The sequence below is a fragment of the Homo sapiens genome, chromosome 3, assembly GCF_000001405.40.
Source record: "Homo sapiens chromosome 3, GRCh38.p14 Primary Assembly".
NCBI classification, from domain to species: domain Eukaryota; kingdom Metazoa; phylum Chordata; class Mammalia; order Primates; family Hominidae; genus Homo; species Homo sapiens.
The window spans coordinates 66437110-66457090 of NC_000003.12; the positions used below are offsets into that span (position 1 = coordinate 66437110).

General features: G+C 46.3%; 1 protein-coding gene across 6 annotated transcripts in view, besides 1 other annotated feature; it reads right to left on the reverse strand.

The window, feature by feature from the left end:
- Positions 1–19981, reverse strand: part of LRIG1 (leucine rich repeats and immunoglobulin like domains 1) — a 122325-nt gene that overhangs the window by 58313 nt on the left and 44031 nt on the right. For 4 of the 6 annotated variants that reach the window (NM_001377345.1, XM_011533578.3, NM_015541.3 and 1 more), the window contains exon 3: positions 14450–14524. The exons of the other annotated variants lie outside the window; for them this stretch is intronic. Coding sequence is in view for 2 of the 4 variants with exons in the window: in XM_011533578.3 (XP_011531880.1) it covers positions 14450–14524 (75 nt within the window). In the remaining 2 variants the exon portion in view is untranslated. The remainder of the gene's footprint in view (positions 1–14449; positions 14525–19981) is intronic. 6 annotated transcript variants of the gene reach the window in all.
- Positions 4094–4841: an enhancer, noted in NCBI's record as "H3K27ac-H3K4me1 hESC enhancer chr3:66491627-66492374 (GRCh37/hg19 assembly coordinates)". NCBI's record gives its function as "activates a minimal SCP1, AML or CMV promoter by ChIP-STARR-seq in primed H9 embryonic stem cells {active_cell/tissue: H9 hESC(primed)}" and the evidence as "EXISTENCE:reporter gene assay evidence [ECO:0000049][PMID:30033119]".

Here is a 19981-nt window from a genome sequence, read left to right on the forward strand (position 1 = left end):
GTCTCTGCAGTGGGGAACGGGTGGCATCTCCCAGCATGGGCTGGACGCCTGCAGGGATCTGCAGTGACTCTCCACCTTCGCTTCACAGAAAGCCTTTCCCAAACCACCTGCTGGCCCCTCAAACAAGCGAGCAGAGACTGGGAGAGCCCTTTTTTGACACATCTGTGGTAAGGTAAGAGCAATTTCTCATCTAAGCAAACAGAGGCTTGAAAAGCTGCTGCTAGAACATGGCAGAACCAGGACTCAAACCCCAATAATGAGCCCTGGGGGCAAGCCCTGTCCACCTCTGGGCCAGGCGGCCTCTCACATGGCAGTTTCCACTAATACTTTTTCTCCCTTGACACCCTGCCTGCCTCTTCAGTAAATCCAGGCAAGCAAGACTTATCCCCTGGCTGGAGAGCCACGCCCTCCAGCACCCCTCAGCAGGCCACTTCTACTATAACGTGCCCAAGCCTGTCTCTCCACCTTGAATAAGTATCTAAAACAACCTAGTGTCTGCCCCATACCCCACAATCACTTATCCTTAAGATGACCCTTCCACTTGGTCCCTCAGAGTCATTCATCCATACATGGATGGGATGCCTGCTACATGCAGCTGCTGCAAGGAAAGACGGACGTGGCTACTGTGCCATCAGCCCCTCACCCCAGCCCCAGAGGAGACAGAGGGATGTCATAGGTGCAGTGGCAGAGGGGAACACAACATCATGGGGGGAGGAGGTCAGAAGAGGGGCGGCTATTCCAGATCAAGGTAGCAAAATGAAGCAGGTACAGGATCCAGAGACACACCCAGTGTGGGCTTTCCTTACGCACAATTTAGAGGTGGGAGAACAGGAAGAAATGGAGCCAGGGCCAACTCTGAAAGAGCTGGGACTTTGTCCCATAGAGGATGGGAAGCCACGAAGGGACCCTTCATTCATGTCTTCGTCAAATATTGATGAAGGTACTTCATTGGGTGGCTGGTGTGGAGTGGGGAGGGATGAGGGCTGCCTCAGAGCCACATCTGGATGCTTGGGAGCCAAGGCCTTGGGGAACCCCTGTAGAGATGAGATGCAGGGCCCAGATTTGGCACCGGACCCGAAGGGCCTGCTAGGGTGCTACCCCCTGTCCCACTCCACGCAGACTCTGCAACATAGAGCACACAGCTCAGCCGGCCTTCTCCACAGAATTCATAAACATGTGAGCCTGCCAGGAACCTGGGGCCCCAGAACTACAGGGTCACCCACAACAGCAGTTCTCAACTAGGGATGTGAGTCTGTTCCAAAGAACATACAGCCCAGGCCTCCAGTAGGGAAGCAGCCATGTGTGTTTTTAACCCTGGTTGAGTATGGTTGATACTGAACCAGCCCCTCTCCTTACAGGTGAGGGAACAGAAGTCACAAAGAGAAGTGTTTTGTGAAACGTCCTATAATGGATCCATAATGTCAGAGTAGGGACCACAAGCCAAGTGCCCTGACACTCGTTCCTCTGAACACTACTGGTGCTAACAAGGGGGAAAAGGCCCTGTACACTCCAGGAAGGGATGTTTCCTCCCAGTTCCCAAGAGTTGGAATGAGCCTTGGGTTACGTCCCGACAAGAGGACGGTGAGAGGGCTTCCCCTGCAGCAGAGATACCACTGCAGAAATTCCAGCACCCAACTGGAGGTGAGCAAAAATGGACCAATGCCCTCTACTGAAATGCCCACAAAGGGATGGCGCTGTGAGAGGCCACCTGGTCCTCACCACTATGCCAACAACTCACGCCTTTTGGCTTTCTCTTCCTAGAGGTGACCCATGAGGCCACCAAGGCAGGGAATGCACATCTCTGCCATATCACCATTTCCTTTGATGACGTATTGAATCTCTCAGGGACTACAGCTCTTTTCCAGGGAATGGGGGAAAGTGAAGACAGGCACTGGGCTCTTACTTGGAACCAAATAGTTGCTATAGCATCACCAAATCAGGGTTCTCGTTAACACACACTAGAGGAGAGGAAGACAGAGCAGGGGCCAGCCTAGCCCGTGAGGAAAGCCAGGTGGTGAAAGGGTTTATCACAGCTGTCTGCAAGGCCATGGGGAAGGGGAGCCCCTGGAAGAACTGCGCCAAGGCCTCCCCGGGCCCAGCCCACGAAGCCCATGCTGGCTTTCTCAACACGCCAGCTCTCATTCCGATTGAGAAGAACCCAACAATTACGAGGCAGAAAAACTTCACTATGCATGCTGATAACCACTGTTTTTCCCCTTATAAAAAGTACATTTGATTTGCAGAAAAGTCACATTCTAAAAAGTCCAAGGGGAATTTTTTTTCTCATTTCCAAAGTTCTACTCTTTGCAACTTAACCTAGCATCCAATTCCAAACACAACCTTCACAAAATCCCATTATACAATTATCCAACTCAATTTTAGCACCAGAACTTTGCTATATTACAATAAAGCTTTTGGGTGAGATCCTTCAGTTTCTATATCATCTATTTACTTTTTTTTTTTTTTAAAAAGAGCCAAGTCTTACTTTTGAAGTTATAAAGAAAAAGGTGTTTAAGGAGCTTAGAATAAGTCAGTTTTGCCTATTGTTTTACTATAAAGAGAGTTTTTTCCACCATCATGGTGGGACATTTCTGACATATAGGTAGAATGCAAATGACAGTTGGGTGGGCTATCAGAAGAAAGAATGACCCAGATAAGGGGCAAATCCACAGTTGAATTCTGTGATCTCCAAATAAGGTGGGCAGGTCTAATCAGACCAAACACCCTCACCCGCGCACCACCAAAGCAACTTCCTCATCACGCTGTGGCTAACTGCACAGTATCTTCAAATTAAATCAACAGTGAAAAGAGGTAAACTAAAACCTCTACTAGGGATCCCCAGAGTCCTAAGTACTAAAATGAAGGCCAGCCTCAATATTTATTTCCCCTCCACCTGGTGAGAAAGAAAGAGGGGGAAAAAAAGGAGTGGAGGGAGGTGGGGGAGCCTGGGTATTTTAAATGATAGTTATGAGAGGGGAGGAGACAAGAGGAGGAACAATGCCTTTCAGTTGCAATTATCCAGCTGTGGCTTATTAAAGCTTTTGGCTGCACACTGAAATGACCTGGAGAGCTTTTTTAAAAAACCACCACAACGCCTGGGCCCAACACTCACCCCCTCTGCTCCCCAGCCCACTAACTCGAGGTTTTGATTTAACTGCCCTGAGACGTAGACATCTAGATTTTTTTAAGCTCCCTAGGTCATTCTACTATGAGTGAGAGCCACCGCTTAAACATTTGCCTAGCACTTTGCTGCTTGCTGCACCTACCCCAGGTAGAGAAACAGAAGATGACAAGAGAGGAGAGAAAATAAACTCTGCTGCTGTCCTCAACAGCTCCCGTAAGAGGAATGAACAGATACATATACGAGGGTTTTCTGTAAGCTTCAACTGGTTTATAGGAGGGTGAGCCATGATGGATATCTGCAAGTAAGATCCATTTTTATGGGATGTAAATAGACCCCTCTCCAGTCTCCAATACCAGGCGGCCTCCAGGGTTCAGTGTAGACAGCAGCAATGCCCCTCAGAGCACAGCAGCAAAAGCAGGCTTGCCTTGCCCACAACCCCAAAGGTGCTCAGTACAAAGCTGTCAGAGATAGCAAGAGTGTCTAACACTCAGTGCACGTTCAGTATATACCAGACACTATACTGAGGACACATACTGTTTAGTTAATCCTAACCACCACCTTATCAGCAAATATCATTTTATGAGTGAGAAAACTGAGGCCTGAGAGAACCTGCCCAGGTGACATAGCAAAGGTGATGCAGGCAGGACTCAAACCCAGATCTGATGGATACAGAGCCTTCTCTTAACCACTGTGCAAAAATGCCCCCTCTCTATAAAGCCCACATGATGCCTGAATCAGCGTAAGGTGAAGAGATCCATTTGTACCTACCTTTGTCCTACCGCTACGTGGAAAAGGAGCCCTGCTATTTACAAACTAACGTCACAGCAGCTGTCCCCGAGGAAAAAAAGTATCAGAGCCCCCAAAGAGACTCTACAATAGGACAGCTAGTTGGGCAGAAGCCAGTGGCCCCTGAGAGGGCAGCCCATGAGTACCTCTGGGGCTGCACACTTCACAGCACACATTTCACCTCCTGGTTGATGAAGTTGGGAAGAAAAAAAACCACAAACTGGCACCTTTATTTCAGCTGTTTGGGTTTGAAAGGCATCCAGGAAGTGAGGAAACTGCAGAGGAATTTGCCTTGAAGTGATGTCTTCGGGGGCAGATAGCCACTATCCGAGAATCTACTGGCACAATCGAACACGTTTGGGCTCTGCCGAGACCTGACGACAAGAGTGTTTTTCCTCACTGTACCTTTCACAGATGGCCGGCATAATCAGCTCTGAATTGACATGAGAGAGAGAGACAGGGAAAGATAGTAGGGGGAAGGACCTTCTGTTACTTCGCATCAGTGAAAGAAAATCATACCAAGAGCTACCCAAAGCAAGTTCACCTCGGGTCAGAAAGAGGCTTTTAAAGCAAGGGCATTACAGAGGCACGCAGCACCACTTTGGGAGATGCATGCTGCATTTGCAGGGTAGGAGCCTCTGACTCCACACTCCAGAGTATCATCGAAGCCTCTGGGCCACAATACCAAGGCTTCCCACACCTAGTACAGTTTGAAATGTCAGCACTTAAAATGACAAGACCCTTCTAGGCACCCAGACCACATACTTCCAAGTGTACAGTGAGCATAAGCCCCAGAGATGGAGAGAAATAACAGGATCCAACTTTGATGCTTCCTTGCTCTGTGACGTTGAGCACGTTACTTGCCGTCTCTGTGCTTTAGGTGCCTCATCTGTAAATTGTGCTTAACAGATCCTGTGTCTCATAGGACTGCAGAGGTGACACAGTAAGACAGGTCCCGGGAAGTCCATAGAGCAACGCCTGCCAATATCAGTGTACCATATATGCTGACGGTCACTATTTTTTCTTCTCAAAAGGCTGAACAATACAAGATTGCTGATGTCTGACCACTACTGAACAAAACACAAACAGTGATTTCATGGGACTCAATATACTGAGTCAACTATTCTATCTTTAAAAACTCTTGCCTTTAAACAAGCAGGGGGAATCCAATATTCCCTATGTATGGCCCAACAATGACAGGCCTTATGAAGGAAAGGCCCGGCATAAACACAAACACATTTCTTCCACTTGGGCTATAAAAGCTGAAAATGGCTCCCAGGTGTGAGCAGACACAATAGGCCCTGCCTTCTCTGCAAGGTCACCACACAGGTCAAAGTCAAGCCAGCCATTTTCAGATTAGGTGCATATGCACATGAGGCTTCCCAGTGGTAACTGGATTACAGAAGCCACCTGCAGGAAGTGAGGAGGGGGAGGAGGAGGAGGAGGAGGAGGAGGAAATGGTCCCAGTTGGAATGAGACTGTTGATATGGGCTGGAGCCAACCCCTTTCACACGGGAGATTGTGCAATGACAGAGCAGCTCCGCTTCCCGGCTCCATTTCAAGCAGCCCTGGAGGGTTTTCAGCACTCACTGCTGGAAGAAGCAGCACTTCCCCTCCGAGACCATCCACTGCTTCTCCAACATTGGGGAGCAACCCGGGTCCCCAGTGGATCTTGGGCTATATTTAAAGCTTGCATGGTCATCAGGAAAAGGGAAAGAAAGAGAGAAAGAGGCGGGCGGGGTGGTGGAAAGGAAAAAAGCCCTACGCTCAACAAAAGCTACCGAGTTTCCAAAAGAGGCAGTGATCTCTGTGACCAAGCTCCTATTCCATGGGATCTCCCCTTCCTCGGCTCCCCCAACCCCACAGCTGGTGTTCCCTTCACTTTCTCAGCAAATGACTTGCAGATGTACCTCTCATCTGGCTGGCTCACCACCCCCACTCTCAAAGAAAGGAGAAAAAAGGAAAGAAAAGAGAGAAGGAAAATGACAAGTCATGACTGTGTAATTTGGCAGGCTGGCTGCGGAGGCCACAGCAGCTCTTTTCCCAGCGAAAGGCTTGCTTAGACTGGGGGCAAGTGGCAGTCTGCACTACGGAATCCCTGGGAAGTTTCCGGGACAGAGAGCTGCTTTCTTTGTAAATTGGGTGTTTAATTTTCTATTTTGAGGCTCCTTGGTGGTATCCAGCATCTGATGAGGCTGCAGTTCTAAGAACTGCAACAGCGGCCTGCTGGCTCTTCATAAAAGCCCGCCTGTTGAAAAAGAAAAAAGGCAGGGAAGGGAGGGTATGTGTTGGGGGCAGGGGATGAGTGAGGGGCGGGGGATGAGTGAGGGGGCGGGGGATGAGTGAGGGGGTGTGTGTGTGCACAAATTGGCCTAAAGATGGAATTAGCCATGTCCTTTTGGTATTCCTCTGAATGCTCCTCCAAGTACCCACTGTGTTGGCTGAACATTTAGGGTGTTACTTACACCTGTAACTTACACCTCTGTGTAGGGGAAGAGAAAGGAGGTTTGCAGAACAGGGAGCCTCAGCTAAAATGTCACTTCATCTGGGAAACTTCTCTGTCATGTGACCCATCAGTGACGGGCAGTGAGGTGCCCCTTAGACATTCCCCAGCCCCTGTATGACAACTGTCTGTTCACCCATCTTCCTCTGCAGCTAGACTGCCAGTTCCTTGAGGGCAGTAACTCCAGGCCCATAGGACCCGATCTGTTTGCTCACGAAAGGCCTTGAGTGGGGCATGTGCTGGCCAACTTCACAGCAGCCGTGCAGAGGAACCCACGGTCTCCACCATGAACCAGCTGAGACTTCCTCCACATTTTCATCTCTTTTGCCCACTGTTGACCTGACCACAGTTCCCAGGCTGGGAAAATGGGAGGAGAGTAATCTGGTCATAAACAATGCAGTGCTAGGAAAGGGCAATGGGGCAGGTGGGGACCCCAGTAGGGTGGGGGAAAAAATGCCCACCTTTCAGACACGCCTGTTAACTTCCATCTGGAAAAAGAGGTGGCATTCAAGTCTTAGCTGAGGATAAAGACTGATCAGATACGAGTGACTGATAATCAAAAGAAAGGTAAGTGTGCTAAAACTGACTCCTGCCGGGGGAGAGGGGATGCTCACCTGTAAGCAGAGCTGCCAGCACCCACCGGCTGAGAGAGTAACAGGGCTCCTGCCACGTTGGGCTGCTCACGAAGCGCTCTCCACCTCTACAGCAGCCGGTGAAGGTCTGCTGGGCAGACTTGAGTGGTCACCAACAAACAGCAAATTAAGCACAAGCAAATATGTAACAGTCATGGGCCTCCAACCCTGAGCCACCCAGGTCTGTTCTGTCCGTGGTACTGGAGCTCACTCTGCCCACTGCCCCAGAGCCTTTCTCAGAAGCCATTACCAGGGCCATAGAGCCCCACTGTCCCAAACAAATGCCTGCCACCACACTGGTGACATTAGGAGTGGAAATTTACTGTCCCCCAAGGCCTAAACAGCTTGGTCAGAACCGACACATGAGCCTTGGGGCTCCCCCCAGCCCCATATGAGCCCCAGGAGTGGTTCTCAAAGCCACCTGGCCAGCAGCAGTGGCATCATCACCTGGGAACTCATGAGCAAAGCAAATTCTCTTGTCCCATCCCAGACCCGTTGAACCAAGCCAGAAACGAGGGTAAGACCCAGTGACTTGTGTCTCAGCAAGCCCTACAGGTGGTCTACCAGTGAGCAGAGGCTGGCATCTCCCAAGGGAAAGGGCATGAGGTTTTATCCAGAAGAAACAATCAGTTCACATCAACAAAAATCTGTGCAAACAGGGAAGGAAGTGAACACATCTTTGAAAACTCAGAAGAGGACCAGAACTTTAGATAATTATATATATATATATATACACACACACATATCTGTATCTATCTATATACATATATATACATATATACACATATATATACGTGTGTATATGTATGTGTATATATATAATTCCTCCCTGTTGTGCTGGTTTTTTTTGACTAGGCCTGTATCTTCCCCCTTTAGCATCTGGGAACCAAAACAGCTTCGGACTACCCAAGGAACAAAAGGCATTCACTTGAACTCAGCCTGGGCCTTTTAAAACAGCTTTGCTCACATTTTCTTCCTAAAGTAGCTGGAGTCATTCACTCTTAACTCCACACTCTTAATGAGAATTCATTTTATTGCCAGAGCAATAAAATGCCTGTAGCCCAGGTAAGGTTTACTTTTACACTGACGGTTTACTTTTACCCAAATGGTAAAAGTAAGGTTTTTTTTTTTTAAAGTAAGGTTTACTTTTACCCAAACGGACTGGCCATCCTTCAATAGTAAAGCTAAATCAGGTTGCTACGCGGGGGAAGCCTGTCCAAAGTAGCATGGGGACCTATATACTTGTTTTCATATTTTCTAACACCCTTGATTAGGTCCACTCTTAATCTGGTGACTGGTGGAGGGACCAGCAGATAATTCCTCCGAAGGAAGGATGGGGCAACCCTTGGTCTTGGGGAGAATCTCTACGCCCACCTCGACTGTACACACACCTATGGTGCCCACAGGTCCAGCTAGGAATAAATGCACAAAGAGCTCCACCATCTGAGATTACCACTCAACTTTTAAAGACAAATTCTTATTTCATCCCTCCAAAGATAAACATCACATGGAAAAATGTTTCACATCAATTCTTTATTATGCCAGTGAAGGATGCCTTTCTTCAGGAGATGCAACATGGAGAAAGTTTTAAAGGCAGGCAGTGAAGAGAAGGACAAGACGTCTCAACCCAGCTCCTTAGATGGAGAATAAGTCTGCCCATCCCCACACACACATGCAGTGGGAATGCCAGCCGCTGCCTGTTCCTCAGTATAATCTCACCTGTGCTTCAAGCCTGATTATTAACAACCTTAGCTCAGATCATGAGGCCGAGCCTAATTTTCCGACGTTGCACTCCAGGTCACTTCCAGCTTGGGCCTTCTAAGGGACTCTCATTATTCCCCCCAGCCCTGAGCTGCAGCAGATCACAGCTGCCTCTCTCTAAGGCTCACTCTTTAATTACACTTTAATGCGAACTGATCTTTGCATTAACGAGCCTGTAAAGAAGATTGATTTCGCCCCTCTTTTTTTCCAGAGGGTTTGCTAGGTACTCAGAGAGTTAAGTATTCCTATTGACTTTACTTCACCAACAGATCCAGCCAAGAAGAGGGCTCAGGCCTTTGCTGCCTCAGATCCCTCCAACCCCACCCAGGGCTTCGTCCACTCTTCACTCACCCCCGGGGAAGGGGGAAGGTGACCACCTCCCCGCTTGGTCACAGGTAGGACACCGCGTTTCTTTCCTTCCAAGTTTTATTCTCCAGAAATTACAACAGAGGGCTGTTAAGTATCCTATCCTCTCCCGCCCACCCGCCTTTTTTTTTTTTTTTTTTTTGAGAAAGAGTTTGTTCTTCTCTCCCAGGCTAGAGTGCAATGGTGCGATCTTAGCTCACTGCAACCTCCGCCTCCCAGGTTCATGTGATTCTCCTGCTGCAGCCTCCTGAGTAGCTGGGATTACCTGCACCTCCCACCACTCCTGGCTGATTTTTGTATTTTTAGTAGAGATGGAGTTTCGCCATTTTGGCCAGGCTGGTCTCGAACTCCTGACCTCAGGTGATCCACCTGCCTCAGCCTCCCAAACTGCTGGGATTACAGGTGTGAGCCACCATGCCCGGCCTTCCTATCCCTTTCATTTAATCACTTCTCTTCAGCTAAGAGGTCACAGCAAAATATAGTTAAAGCCACCTCAGATATTTTATTAAGTTATTTATAAATGAAGTCTTCCAGGTTCATTTGTTAACATGAGAGAAAAATGCTTTCCTCAAAAAAAAAAAAATTAGTTTTCAAATAAGTGGTTACCAGGGGCTAGGGTGAGGGATATGAGAAGTGACTGTTGAAGGAGTATGGGGTTTTTTGGGGGGCGGGGTGGGTTGGGGGGTGATGAAAATGTTTTAGCATTCTGTAGTGGTGATGGTTGCACAACACTGAGAACGTACTACAAGTGGCTTTTAAATGGTGAGTTAATGGTAAGTTCATTTTTTTAAATTTTCTGATTTTTTTGTGAGTACATAGTAGGTGTATATATTTATGGTGTACAAGAGCTGTTTTGAAACAGGCATGCAGTGTATAAAAATCACATCATGGAGAATGGGGCATCCATGCCCTCAAGCATTTATCCTTTGTATTACAAACAATCCAATTACACTCTTAATTATTTTTAAATGTACAATTAAGTTATTATTGGCTATAGTCACCCTGTTATGCTATCAAATAGCAGGTCTTCATTCTATTTTTTTGTACCCATTGACCAGCCCCACACTGCCTCCCCATGTCCCTGGGTACATTTATCTTATCTCATTAAAAAAAATAGTTTTCAAAAACATTTTTTCAAGATTAGAAGTAAAAGGCATTTCAATGTGTTTTCAAATGCAACCTAAACCTAAGGAATTTTAATAGCAATATTACAAAGTCACAATTAATTGTGTGCCCCTAAGTTTTGCCTAGGTCTTCCTCCTGGTTGAGGACACAGGCTGTGGGAGAGCAAATGACAAGGCACCATAAAGGGATGAAGTCTAGAACAAACCAGCTGGAGAAGTTGTTAGGTAGACAAGGCCAACCCTATGGGTAATATGCTACAGTCCATGCACAGGAGACAAAAGCTAAGACCAACTATACCACATACATTTTTACTCCCAGGACTGAAAAATTCAACGATTTCCACTGTCACCAATCTTCTCGACAGTACAAGTGCAGCAACACCACCGGAAAAACAGAGATTTTTCCTCAACAGAAATGTCATTGATGCATCAGACAAAATTACTGTTGCTGTGGGAATCGTAACTTGAGTGTCCTGGATTTTAAATTAAAAAAGAAAGAAATCTCAAACGTGAAAATCCACTGGCAGCTTCTGCCCCCATTTAACAAAAGTCTGTTTCTTTTTCTCGGCACTATTTTATGAAATTAGCTCCCTCACCGGAACCCATTCTTATTAAGAGCTTTCCTTGAGTTCTATGCTTTCTGTTTATTAAGGACAAATGGCTCCGGCATTATCCTCAGAACACAATGCAAATAAATCTGTTCTTTGACAAATATGTTAACTGAATTAGATTCCTTTAATCAGAAAGTATTAACCAACTGAAATTTTGCTCTATGACTCCAGTTCCCAAAACTATGGAAGTCTCTTTTGAAGACCTGACAGAAAAAGCCAGGTGCAGAGCAATGCCTCTTCCCATGAGGCTCTCCCAATGGTGCCACCCAGCTTGGGAGGGCTCTGGTGTCTGGAAGTCGGCTCAATTCTGCATAAGCAAAATGAAACACAGAGAGAAAGGGCCAACTTCCAGAGGCAAAAGTCCATAATTATAGGTGTCCAAGCTGAAAATTAACAAACCCACTACTTCTGTGAAAAGACAGAAAGCAACAACAGTGGTTATTGGTCAGAGGGTAACTATGTCTTTTGTGACATTATTGCCCCTACTCTCAACTTTCGGGTCACAAAGAGAATACACAAGCTTCGAGGGTACTTCTACCATCTGCTTCAACTTCCTCATCTGAGAAAAAAAGTAACGTATGTATCCCAGGTCACAACTACATTAGAGACAGCAGGACCCACACCTAGCCCTGACTTTTCTGTGATGCATCTACCTATAAACTTGTCCCAAGAAAGTTGTCTGGGCTCCTGTCACTCACATGGCCTCAGCAGACATTTGCTCTATTCTCTCTGCATATTTTGATTATTTTTTTCTGATCCTCTGTCTGCCCACAAAAACGGAATAAGAATTTGAGGATTAAGGACTATAAGCATCTAACTATTAACTACCACATTTTCAGACGATGTGTTGAGGCTTCTGCTTCTCCCTGGGACAGCCTCTGGGCCACAACTGCAGGGACACAAAAAGTGCCTACTAAATATTTACAGAACACGTGACACCCTTCAGTTCACTAGTTCCGAAAAGTAAGAGACACATCAGCAAAACCTGCTGTTCAAAACCTGGATGACTGGAATCATCATGTGGATGGGGCTGCTAAGTCTTCTGCCTTCATTGATTAGGATGAGGAAGGTGGTTCTTTGGGCTGTAAAATGATGCTCATCCACTGCCTGCTCTGTTGTTTTCTCCCTTGTCCTTTGCACGGTCCACTTGGGAAATACAGAAAAGGCATGAAGCATTATCAATAATCCAGCTGCCCAGATGTCATGCTGCTAACCTAACTTGCCAGCACTGAATCCAGGCATCCAATCTAAGAATGGGGAACACAGGCACCTCAGAGAAAACCAAGATAAAGCCCCTTCGGTTTCTGTCATTTCAGAGAAATCACTGACCAAGTCAGATGGTGCCCAACTTCAGGCCAAAGAGCTGGCTGCCAGTGCTAACCTGCATTTTCCAAACTGAATCCAAACAGGGAGTAACTCTCTTTTTTTTCTCTCCTGCTTTACATACTTCAATGCTGTCTAATGGAATAGCAGGAACAAGGCCAAACAGCCCCACTTCTCTTGGCACTTGGGCCAAGGAACAGAAATGTATTTTTAGTCAGCAGAGCAAGGTGCAATTCTAAGTGCCACAGGCCCGTGGGGCAAACTGGGGGCCCTGCCTGCCTCTGGCACAGTGTGGTTCAGAGTCACCTGCCACGCTCCTGCCCCGAGTGCATGGGGTTAAAGGAGTGATGCAAAGGCGTTTGTGTCTGGTCTCAGTTCCACCTCTCACTTTTACAACTTATAAGACCTCCAGGGAGGCTCAGTTTCCTCTCTGACAACACAGAGATATTCTCTGTGGCCCTAGCTTCCTCACTATGTGAGGAACAAGAGCAGTTACATCAGCATTTCTCAAACTTGAACTCGTGGACAAACGGCCAGGGCCCTTGTTAAATGGAGCTTCTGATCCAGTAGTGTTGGCATTAAGCCTGAGGTTCTGCATTTCTAACAAGCTCGAAGCTAACTCAATACTGATGGTCCATGACCTGTGCTTTAAGCAGCAAGGAGCTCCTAGCATCTTCAAGTGCTTTGCTTTATGGACACACAACAGGTTATCACATCCCTATCAGCCTCACATAAGACGAACTCATTGATTAAGCCAAAAATTAAACACCTTCCAGATGCTGGGCCCACAAACCAAGTGGGTACAAAATAAAGTCAGACCTTTACCCATCAAGGGAACAAAGGGCCACAAACCTTCCTTCCAGCACTTCACAGAAACAGAGACTGACTCTTAAATCCTGCGGCCTTAAAGGTGAGATCCTGCCAAGATCCAAGGAGCTACGTGACAACTAGCCACCAGCCAATGACAGTAACCACCATTTGTCAAACACTCCCACAGAATGCTGGGAGCTTCATATACATTCCACTCCCCCGGGCCTCACTTTCCTCATGTATAAAATGGGTCAAAAATGCATTATGTAAATGAGGGAAACGAGGTTCAGAGAGACTAGGTCATCTGTCCAGGGCACAGAGTGAAGTGCAATTCTAACCCCCCACGCTCTCCTGCAATCCCACAATGCCATGAAAAGGGTTAAACCCAAGACCATGTTTCACAGGGACACAGCACCTCCTGAACACAGGGCATGCTGCCAGCCAAAGATCCGAGATCTGTAAGCTATGCCAGCACTCTTATTAATAGCACCTTCTTGCAAAGTTTCTCTGCTCAGCCTGCCGAGCCTCAGTATTGAGAAAAGATTCATATAGGTGAGCAAACTAATTATAAAACCAGCAAAATCAAAATAAAATTAAACTATGAAAGCCTGGAGTGGAAACAGGAAATTCAGTGTGAAGAGGGAGGTGCTCTGCTGGGGAAGCTGCCAATAAAATCTGGCAGAGAAAACTGTTGGACTCATGGCTGGTTTATCTGGAAAGTCTTCTGGGTGAGTTTAAAACAAGCAAGCTCCTCCACCTGACTGCTGAAGAAATAGGGGTAGGATCAGTGCTCAGTTCTCTAGCAAAGGTTTGTAACAGCACAAATGATAATATTCCCAATGGGTGCCTTCATGTCTTTTTAGCTAAGGCCCTTCATCTGCTTTTTCATTTCCAGTGTGCTGTCTAGAACAAATAGATCGCATCTTATCTAACACTTGACCATGACAACATAGTTTTACGTTGATTCCAGAGGCCTGGGGGCACTTTCTTTTTCTTAAAGCCACAAAAGTAAACTGAGTCACATTACCCAATTCACTGGCACAAAGATTAGCTTGCTGTCTTATAACTGACACAGCTTCCTTTAACTCCAGTTTTACTCAAAGTTGCAGCTTAACCAACCACAGAAGCAAGAAATCTAGTTCCATATACCTCTGCGCATTAAAAAAAAAAAAGACAAAAGACCTACTTTCTTGCAAATTAAAGATGAGGTAAAACTTCCAGCGTTTAATTCTGCAAATCCCAAAACAGCAAGCAAAGCGTTTGTCATGATCATGAGGGCCACATGAAGAAAGGTCTTTCTTCACCAGCGAGCACATGAACTCAAGTTATCCTGCCACCAGGTATCAGCAAGGCAACAAACACCATGGCCCCACCACACAGCCCAGAGTCCCCCAAACGGCACCACTTACAGAAAGAGAGAGACGACATGTGATGAAGCAGCGCCCAGGGATGGTACCGCTGTCAACTCATTATTATTGAGGTACCTGTAACAACAACAAGAAATTAATCATGTAAGGCATTTGAATTAGTCTGAAATCATACACATACAACAGAAATAAACAAACGCTGCTAAGTCTGCCACAGTAAACCTATATTCTAATGTTGGAGAAAAGAGAAAGAATTTAGCAGTGAGTTTTTAAAGGGAAAGAAGTCACATGAGATCACAAAAACTAGCCACTGATCACACCCATGGCTAGAAACAAACACTAAGGGGAAGCATCTCCTGTCTCCCATCAGCTTCCCATCAAACTCAGAAATCAAGACAAGGAACAGTGAGAACAAGCCAAGAGGCAGGTTCGGGACAAAAGCGCCCCTAAGACCATCGGTGAGAACACTCCCCGTGGGCCGAAATTTGCCCCTGTCAAAGGGCAACATGTGTGGAACAAGAGCCAGAGACTCACGCCCTGGCTCACATGGAGTTCTGAGGGGCTTGGGACACATGGGGCCAATTATTTCAGTGCCTCATCTGTGAAATAACAAGGGAACTGGACTCAGAGACTCTCTTCCATTTGAGGTTCCAGCTGGACTCTGATGAAGCCTCTGGATGCATCCCCCAGGAAAATGAACATATATACACACACTTTTGCGCATAGACACTTTGAAAATTCTCCACAGACGAGAGTTGCTCTCCAAGCTCCCTTCCTGCTAAAATAGTCCAAATATGTATTTCCATAGTTAATATCTCTTAACGGAAGGGGAAACCCACGAACCAAAGCACGGCTCGCCTGGTCTGCCCCCAGAGGCTGTGCAATCTGGCCTCCTTACATGGACATGTATTTCCAAATCTGGGAAGAGAATCCAAAATCAGACTTGCAAAGTGAGCCCAACAATCCTTAAGAAAACCAAAGCAAAGTGTTCAGGCTTTCTGCCAGGTGATGGGCTAGAAAGAAATTGTACTTGCGATGCAAAGTCAAGGGGATAAAACTGGGTTCTTATTCTCAGTTTTTTAAGGGAGGTACGTCTAACACAGAGCATCCTGTTTCTGTTTGAAGACAAAGCAACTGAAATCACAGCTGTACTCATACAAGTATACAGCTAGCATGTGCTTGAAGAGAATAATCTGGTTGTCTGCCATCTTTTATAGAAGTGAATAGGAGAAGGAAAAAAAAAAGGAAAGGCCTTGAATTATCCCATTTGCTTTCTTCAGTGCCAAAGCCAGTTAGGGATGAAGCTTGGCAATTACTGGGCTGTGGGACATAGAATGCCTGTTTCAATAGCTTCATGGCTGAAGCATCTGGCAGAGAGAAGGCAGATCCGTATCATGTGGCAAATCTTTTCTCCACTTAAAGGGCCCTTGTTTGTGTGTTGAAATAGACAATTAATTACTTTAACAGTCTCTTATCTGACTGCCCCCTAAATCAGATTGTTTCTGCTTCACCTTTTATCTCCTCCAACCCTGCTGTGATCCATTTCCCATCCTCACTCAGGGACACTGAAAACTCCCCATTAGTCTTAATCTCAGCTAATAAATTTTTCATAGTACCCATCAACGTACCTATTATTACAAGAGACCCCCAGGTTTTATCAGAGCAAGAAAAACTAAGGTCGGGGACCTGCTGTCAATCAGGCAGCTTGCCTAAGAACTCTTTCATTGCTTGCGATTTCTTCTCAAACACAGAGAATGTTAGTAACAAAAACAAAAGCAGGTAAATTAATGAAGGCTGACTATGTGCCAGGCACAGCTCTAAGAGCTTTTCAGTATATTAATGCATCTCTACAGCCCTCAGAAGTAGGTCTCAGGAACATTTCCACTGCACCAATGAGGAAACTGAAACACAGATGTTAAGTAATTTGACCAAGGTCACCAGCAATAAGTTGCAGTGGCCCAGGGTGCCTAGCCCCAAAGTCTAGGTTTTTCCTCATTACCTTCTATTTCTTTATTTCAGCAAAAACTCGACATGCCTCGTGCACTTTCACCATCACAACAACTTTGAATCAGGTACCAGGTTAACTACTACCATTCTCTACATTACCGGTAAGTTCTCTAGGCCAGTTTAAGTCACTCATCTAGGGTCATGCTACTAGAGAGGACATGGCCAAGACCTGAAAAAAGTATGACTACAAACCAGAGGAGAGCAGCGGGCTCAAAGGCCAGCTGGAAAGCTCATAATCCCTTAGGTAACAGCACAGTTGTTTTTCAGCCAGCTTAGGATCTCACTTGATTTTAAACCTGAAACAAAGCGTATGGACTTCTCTGCAGGGGGCTACGCCTGATGAGCCTGGTCTCAGGCCAGGCCTACTGTATCTGTGACAAACTGCTCCACCCAATTTCACAGAAATAAATGAACAAGGGAAGCGGGCATCATGATATTTCAAATTGTGACAGAACTGCTGGAAGTGGAGCATAGAGGGGTGGTGGACCAGTGCTGGAGCTTAACTGGGCCTTCTATGTCTAGATGAGCAGGCCCGAGTCAAGGGCTCAGTCAGAAACAGTGGGCTCTGGTGGCAACAGGGCTGCCTGACTTACAGGGAGGACACTCAAAGCCCCCAGGAGAGGCCCTGCACAGTGAGCTTACTTCCAGATCATTTCTACTGAAAAAAGAACCGCTATTCAGAGTAAGTCTGTTAGCTCCACCACTGCTGGCTCCCTTTTTGTTCACTCTGTCCCCTGTTGAAACAAGAATACTCTCCTCAGAAGGCAGCAGAGGCCCAGCTCACTCTGAGATGCAAAGAACTTCTTGCCAGACTGAAATAGAGACTGGTCAAAAATAGCACAGCTACAGCTTTGAGGGGAAAGGCACTCAGGAAGTTTAGCAGAGTCTCCATGAATAAAGAAATTTTAGGAAGTAAAGATTGTGCCTGATGAAATTTTTTTAAATATCTACGATTGTACAGTCTTCTCTCACCCCCTACCCGCCAATTTACTTCCCCTGCCGACGCCCATCTCTCCCCACAATTTACTTCCATCCAAGGCCCTAAAAATCTCTCTGAAACGTCTGGTCTCTATTTCTAAACCTTTTCTGATGATTCAGGATTAAGAAGTGCCTCAGATGCATCAGACCCATGAATCACGGCCAGACCCTGGGGCTAGAGAAGGTGTAGCTAAGGTAAAAGGATTCCGGACCCCAGGGCAGAACCTAGGGGTGGGTCCTTTCCCAATTCAATCCGTAAGGTCAGCTTGGACCTTCTGGTCCCTCACCTTTCTCCCAAAACTTCCATTTAATTGACTTAAGGGAAGTTTTACATTTTGTAAGCTACAAAATGTGATAAAGGCTATTTCATAGTACTACATCATCATCATCATCAATCTTAATCAAATTTGGCTTCAACAATGTCAAACCAATGCAGAAATTGTGCTTGTCTTTTTTCTGAGACGGAGTCTCGCTCTGTGGTGGCCCAGGCTGGAGTACATTGGCATGATCTCGGCTCACTGTAACCTCTGCCTCCTGGGTTCAAGCGATTCTCCTGCCTCAGCCTCCCGAGTAGCTGGGATTATAGGCACAGGCCACCACACTCAGCTAATTTTTTTATTTTTAGTAGACACGGGGTTTCGTCATGTTGGCCAGGCTGGTCTCGAACTCCTGACCTCAGGTGATCCGCCCTTCTCGGCCTCTCAATGTGCTGAGATTACAGGCGTGAGCCACCATGCCTGAATTTTTCTTGCTGTTATTTATTTACTCATTAAATAGCTGGTATAAGCACAGAGTAAAGTTTTCAAACCATTTCAAAAAAGAATACATAGTAAACATAAAGCTTCTTTGCAGTTCCATCCTCTGGTCTGCCTCCAAAGGGCAGCTCCTGCTGCTGGCTACTAGAGATGTGTATGTGTTTTTCTTTTGCACAAATGTACGTGTATTAAACAGACTGTTGTGTACCGCCATTTCTCTTTAGTAATATATCTTGGAGGTCTCCACTATTCGTTTAACTGGTGGCACAGTAGTCCTCTGCTGGTATGAATGGACCATAATTTATCTGGCCAATCCACTACTGGCAGACATAGTGGCTGTTTCTTTGGTTGCTCCCAAATACAGACAGAGCTGCAATTAATAGTAGTCAAAGTTGGGCAGTGCGTTGAAACTGTAGTTGGTTTTGTTTCTTAAAAGGGTGAAAGCCATCAGTATCACATAGGAATATGGGTTTCGGAAGCAGGGCCACTTAATAACTGTATTCTGCTTTAGTTACTAGAGAATAATGTATACTAACTAATTGATGTGGTGAGACTTTATGATACGTGGTTTCTACACAAGATAGCCAGATAAAATTATTTTAGCGTAGGATATAATTACTTTAACAAAATAAACAATAATAAAGGTGAACATCTACTATGTGCCAGACTCTGTCCTAAGTTTTCTATGTGCAATATCTCAGTGAATGACATGCTAACACTTTGAGGAAAGTACTAAATTATCACCTCTCCTTAAGAAAGGAAACTGAGGCACAGTTACAGAACAGGGATTATTAGGATGGGATTATATAGCTCAGATGTTTAAATCAGACATATCTTGGTTCACTCAACTCCAATTGCACCCTTTATCAATCCAATGCTAAGCATGTCACTCAGCCTTGCTGTCCCTTACTTCCCTCTTCTGAAGAATGTAAATAATACAAGTGCCAGCTTTGTAGGGTTTTGGGAGGATCCAGCTGAAATAATTAAACCTAAGATCTCAGGATATTGACAGATACACAGGATATGCTTAAGAGATGGCAGGAGGACCAGGCATGGTGGCTCACACCTGTATTCCAGCCCTTTGGGAGGCCAAGGCAGGAGGATCATTTAAGCCCAGTAGTTCGAGACTAGCCTGGGCAACATGACAAAACCCATCTCTACAAAAAATTAGCCAGGAGTGGTTGTGCACGCCTGTAGTTCCAGCTACTCAGGAGGCTGAGGTGCGAGGATCGCTTGAGCCTGGGAATTTGAGGCTGCAGTCAGCTATGACCATACCACTGCACTCTAGCCTGGGCAACAGAGTGAGATCCTGTCTTAAAAAAAAAAAAAAAAAAAAGTGATAGTAATTCACAGCCAAAAGGCAGTACCCCAAAACGACAACCCTCATTATTTTACCCTCTCCCTAAACATACTACCATCCCCCGCACCCCTGCTCACACACACCCACTGTGGGGAGCAGCAGCCTGACACAGTGCGATGAACCACAAATACCCAATAGCAGGCAGGGCACACTTGAGGCTTCCTTACCAGGTCAGTGGCCCTGGCAAGCACACGGCAACACCCACAGCAGGCACTCGCGGGCCAGGCGGCAGTACTGTGATCTGAAGGCAGTATCTACAGAGGACTGTATAAATAGCCCCTTTTATTAATAGAGGAGCCTGCTGGCCAGGACCCCAGCTGGAGGCACTCCCTGGTGGGCTTTCCTCAGGGCTGTGGGCAGTGAAGACCGTGTGGCTTGGACGCAGCTGCACAAGCGTCCTCATGTCCTCCAGGGGCCTCGCCTTCTCTCTCCAGCCGGCCCATGATGTCATGTGGTTCTGAGGCCTCCAGAATA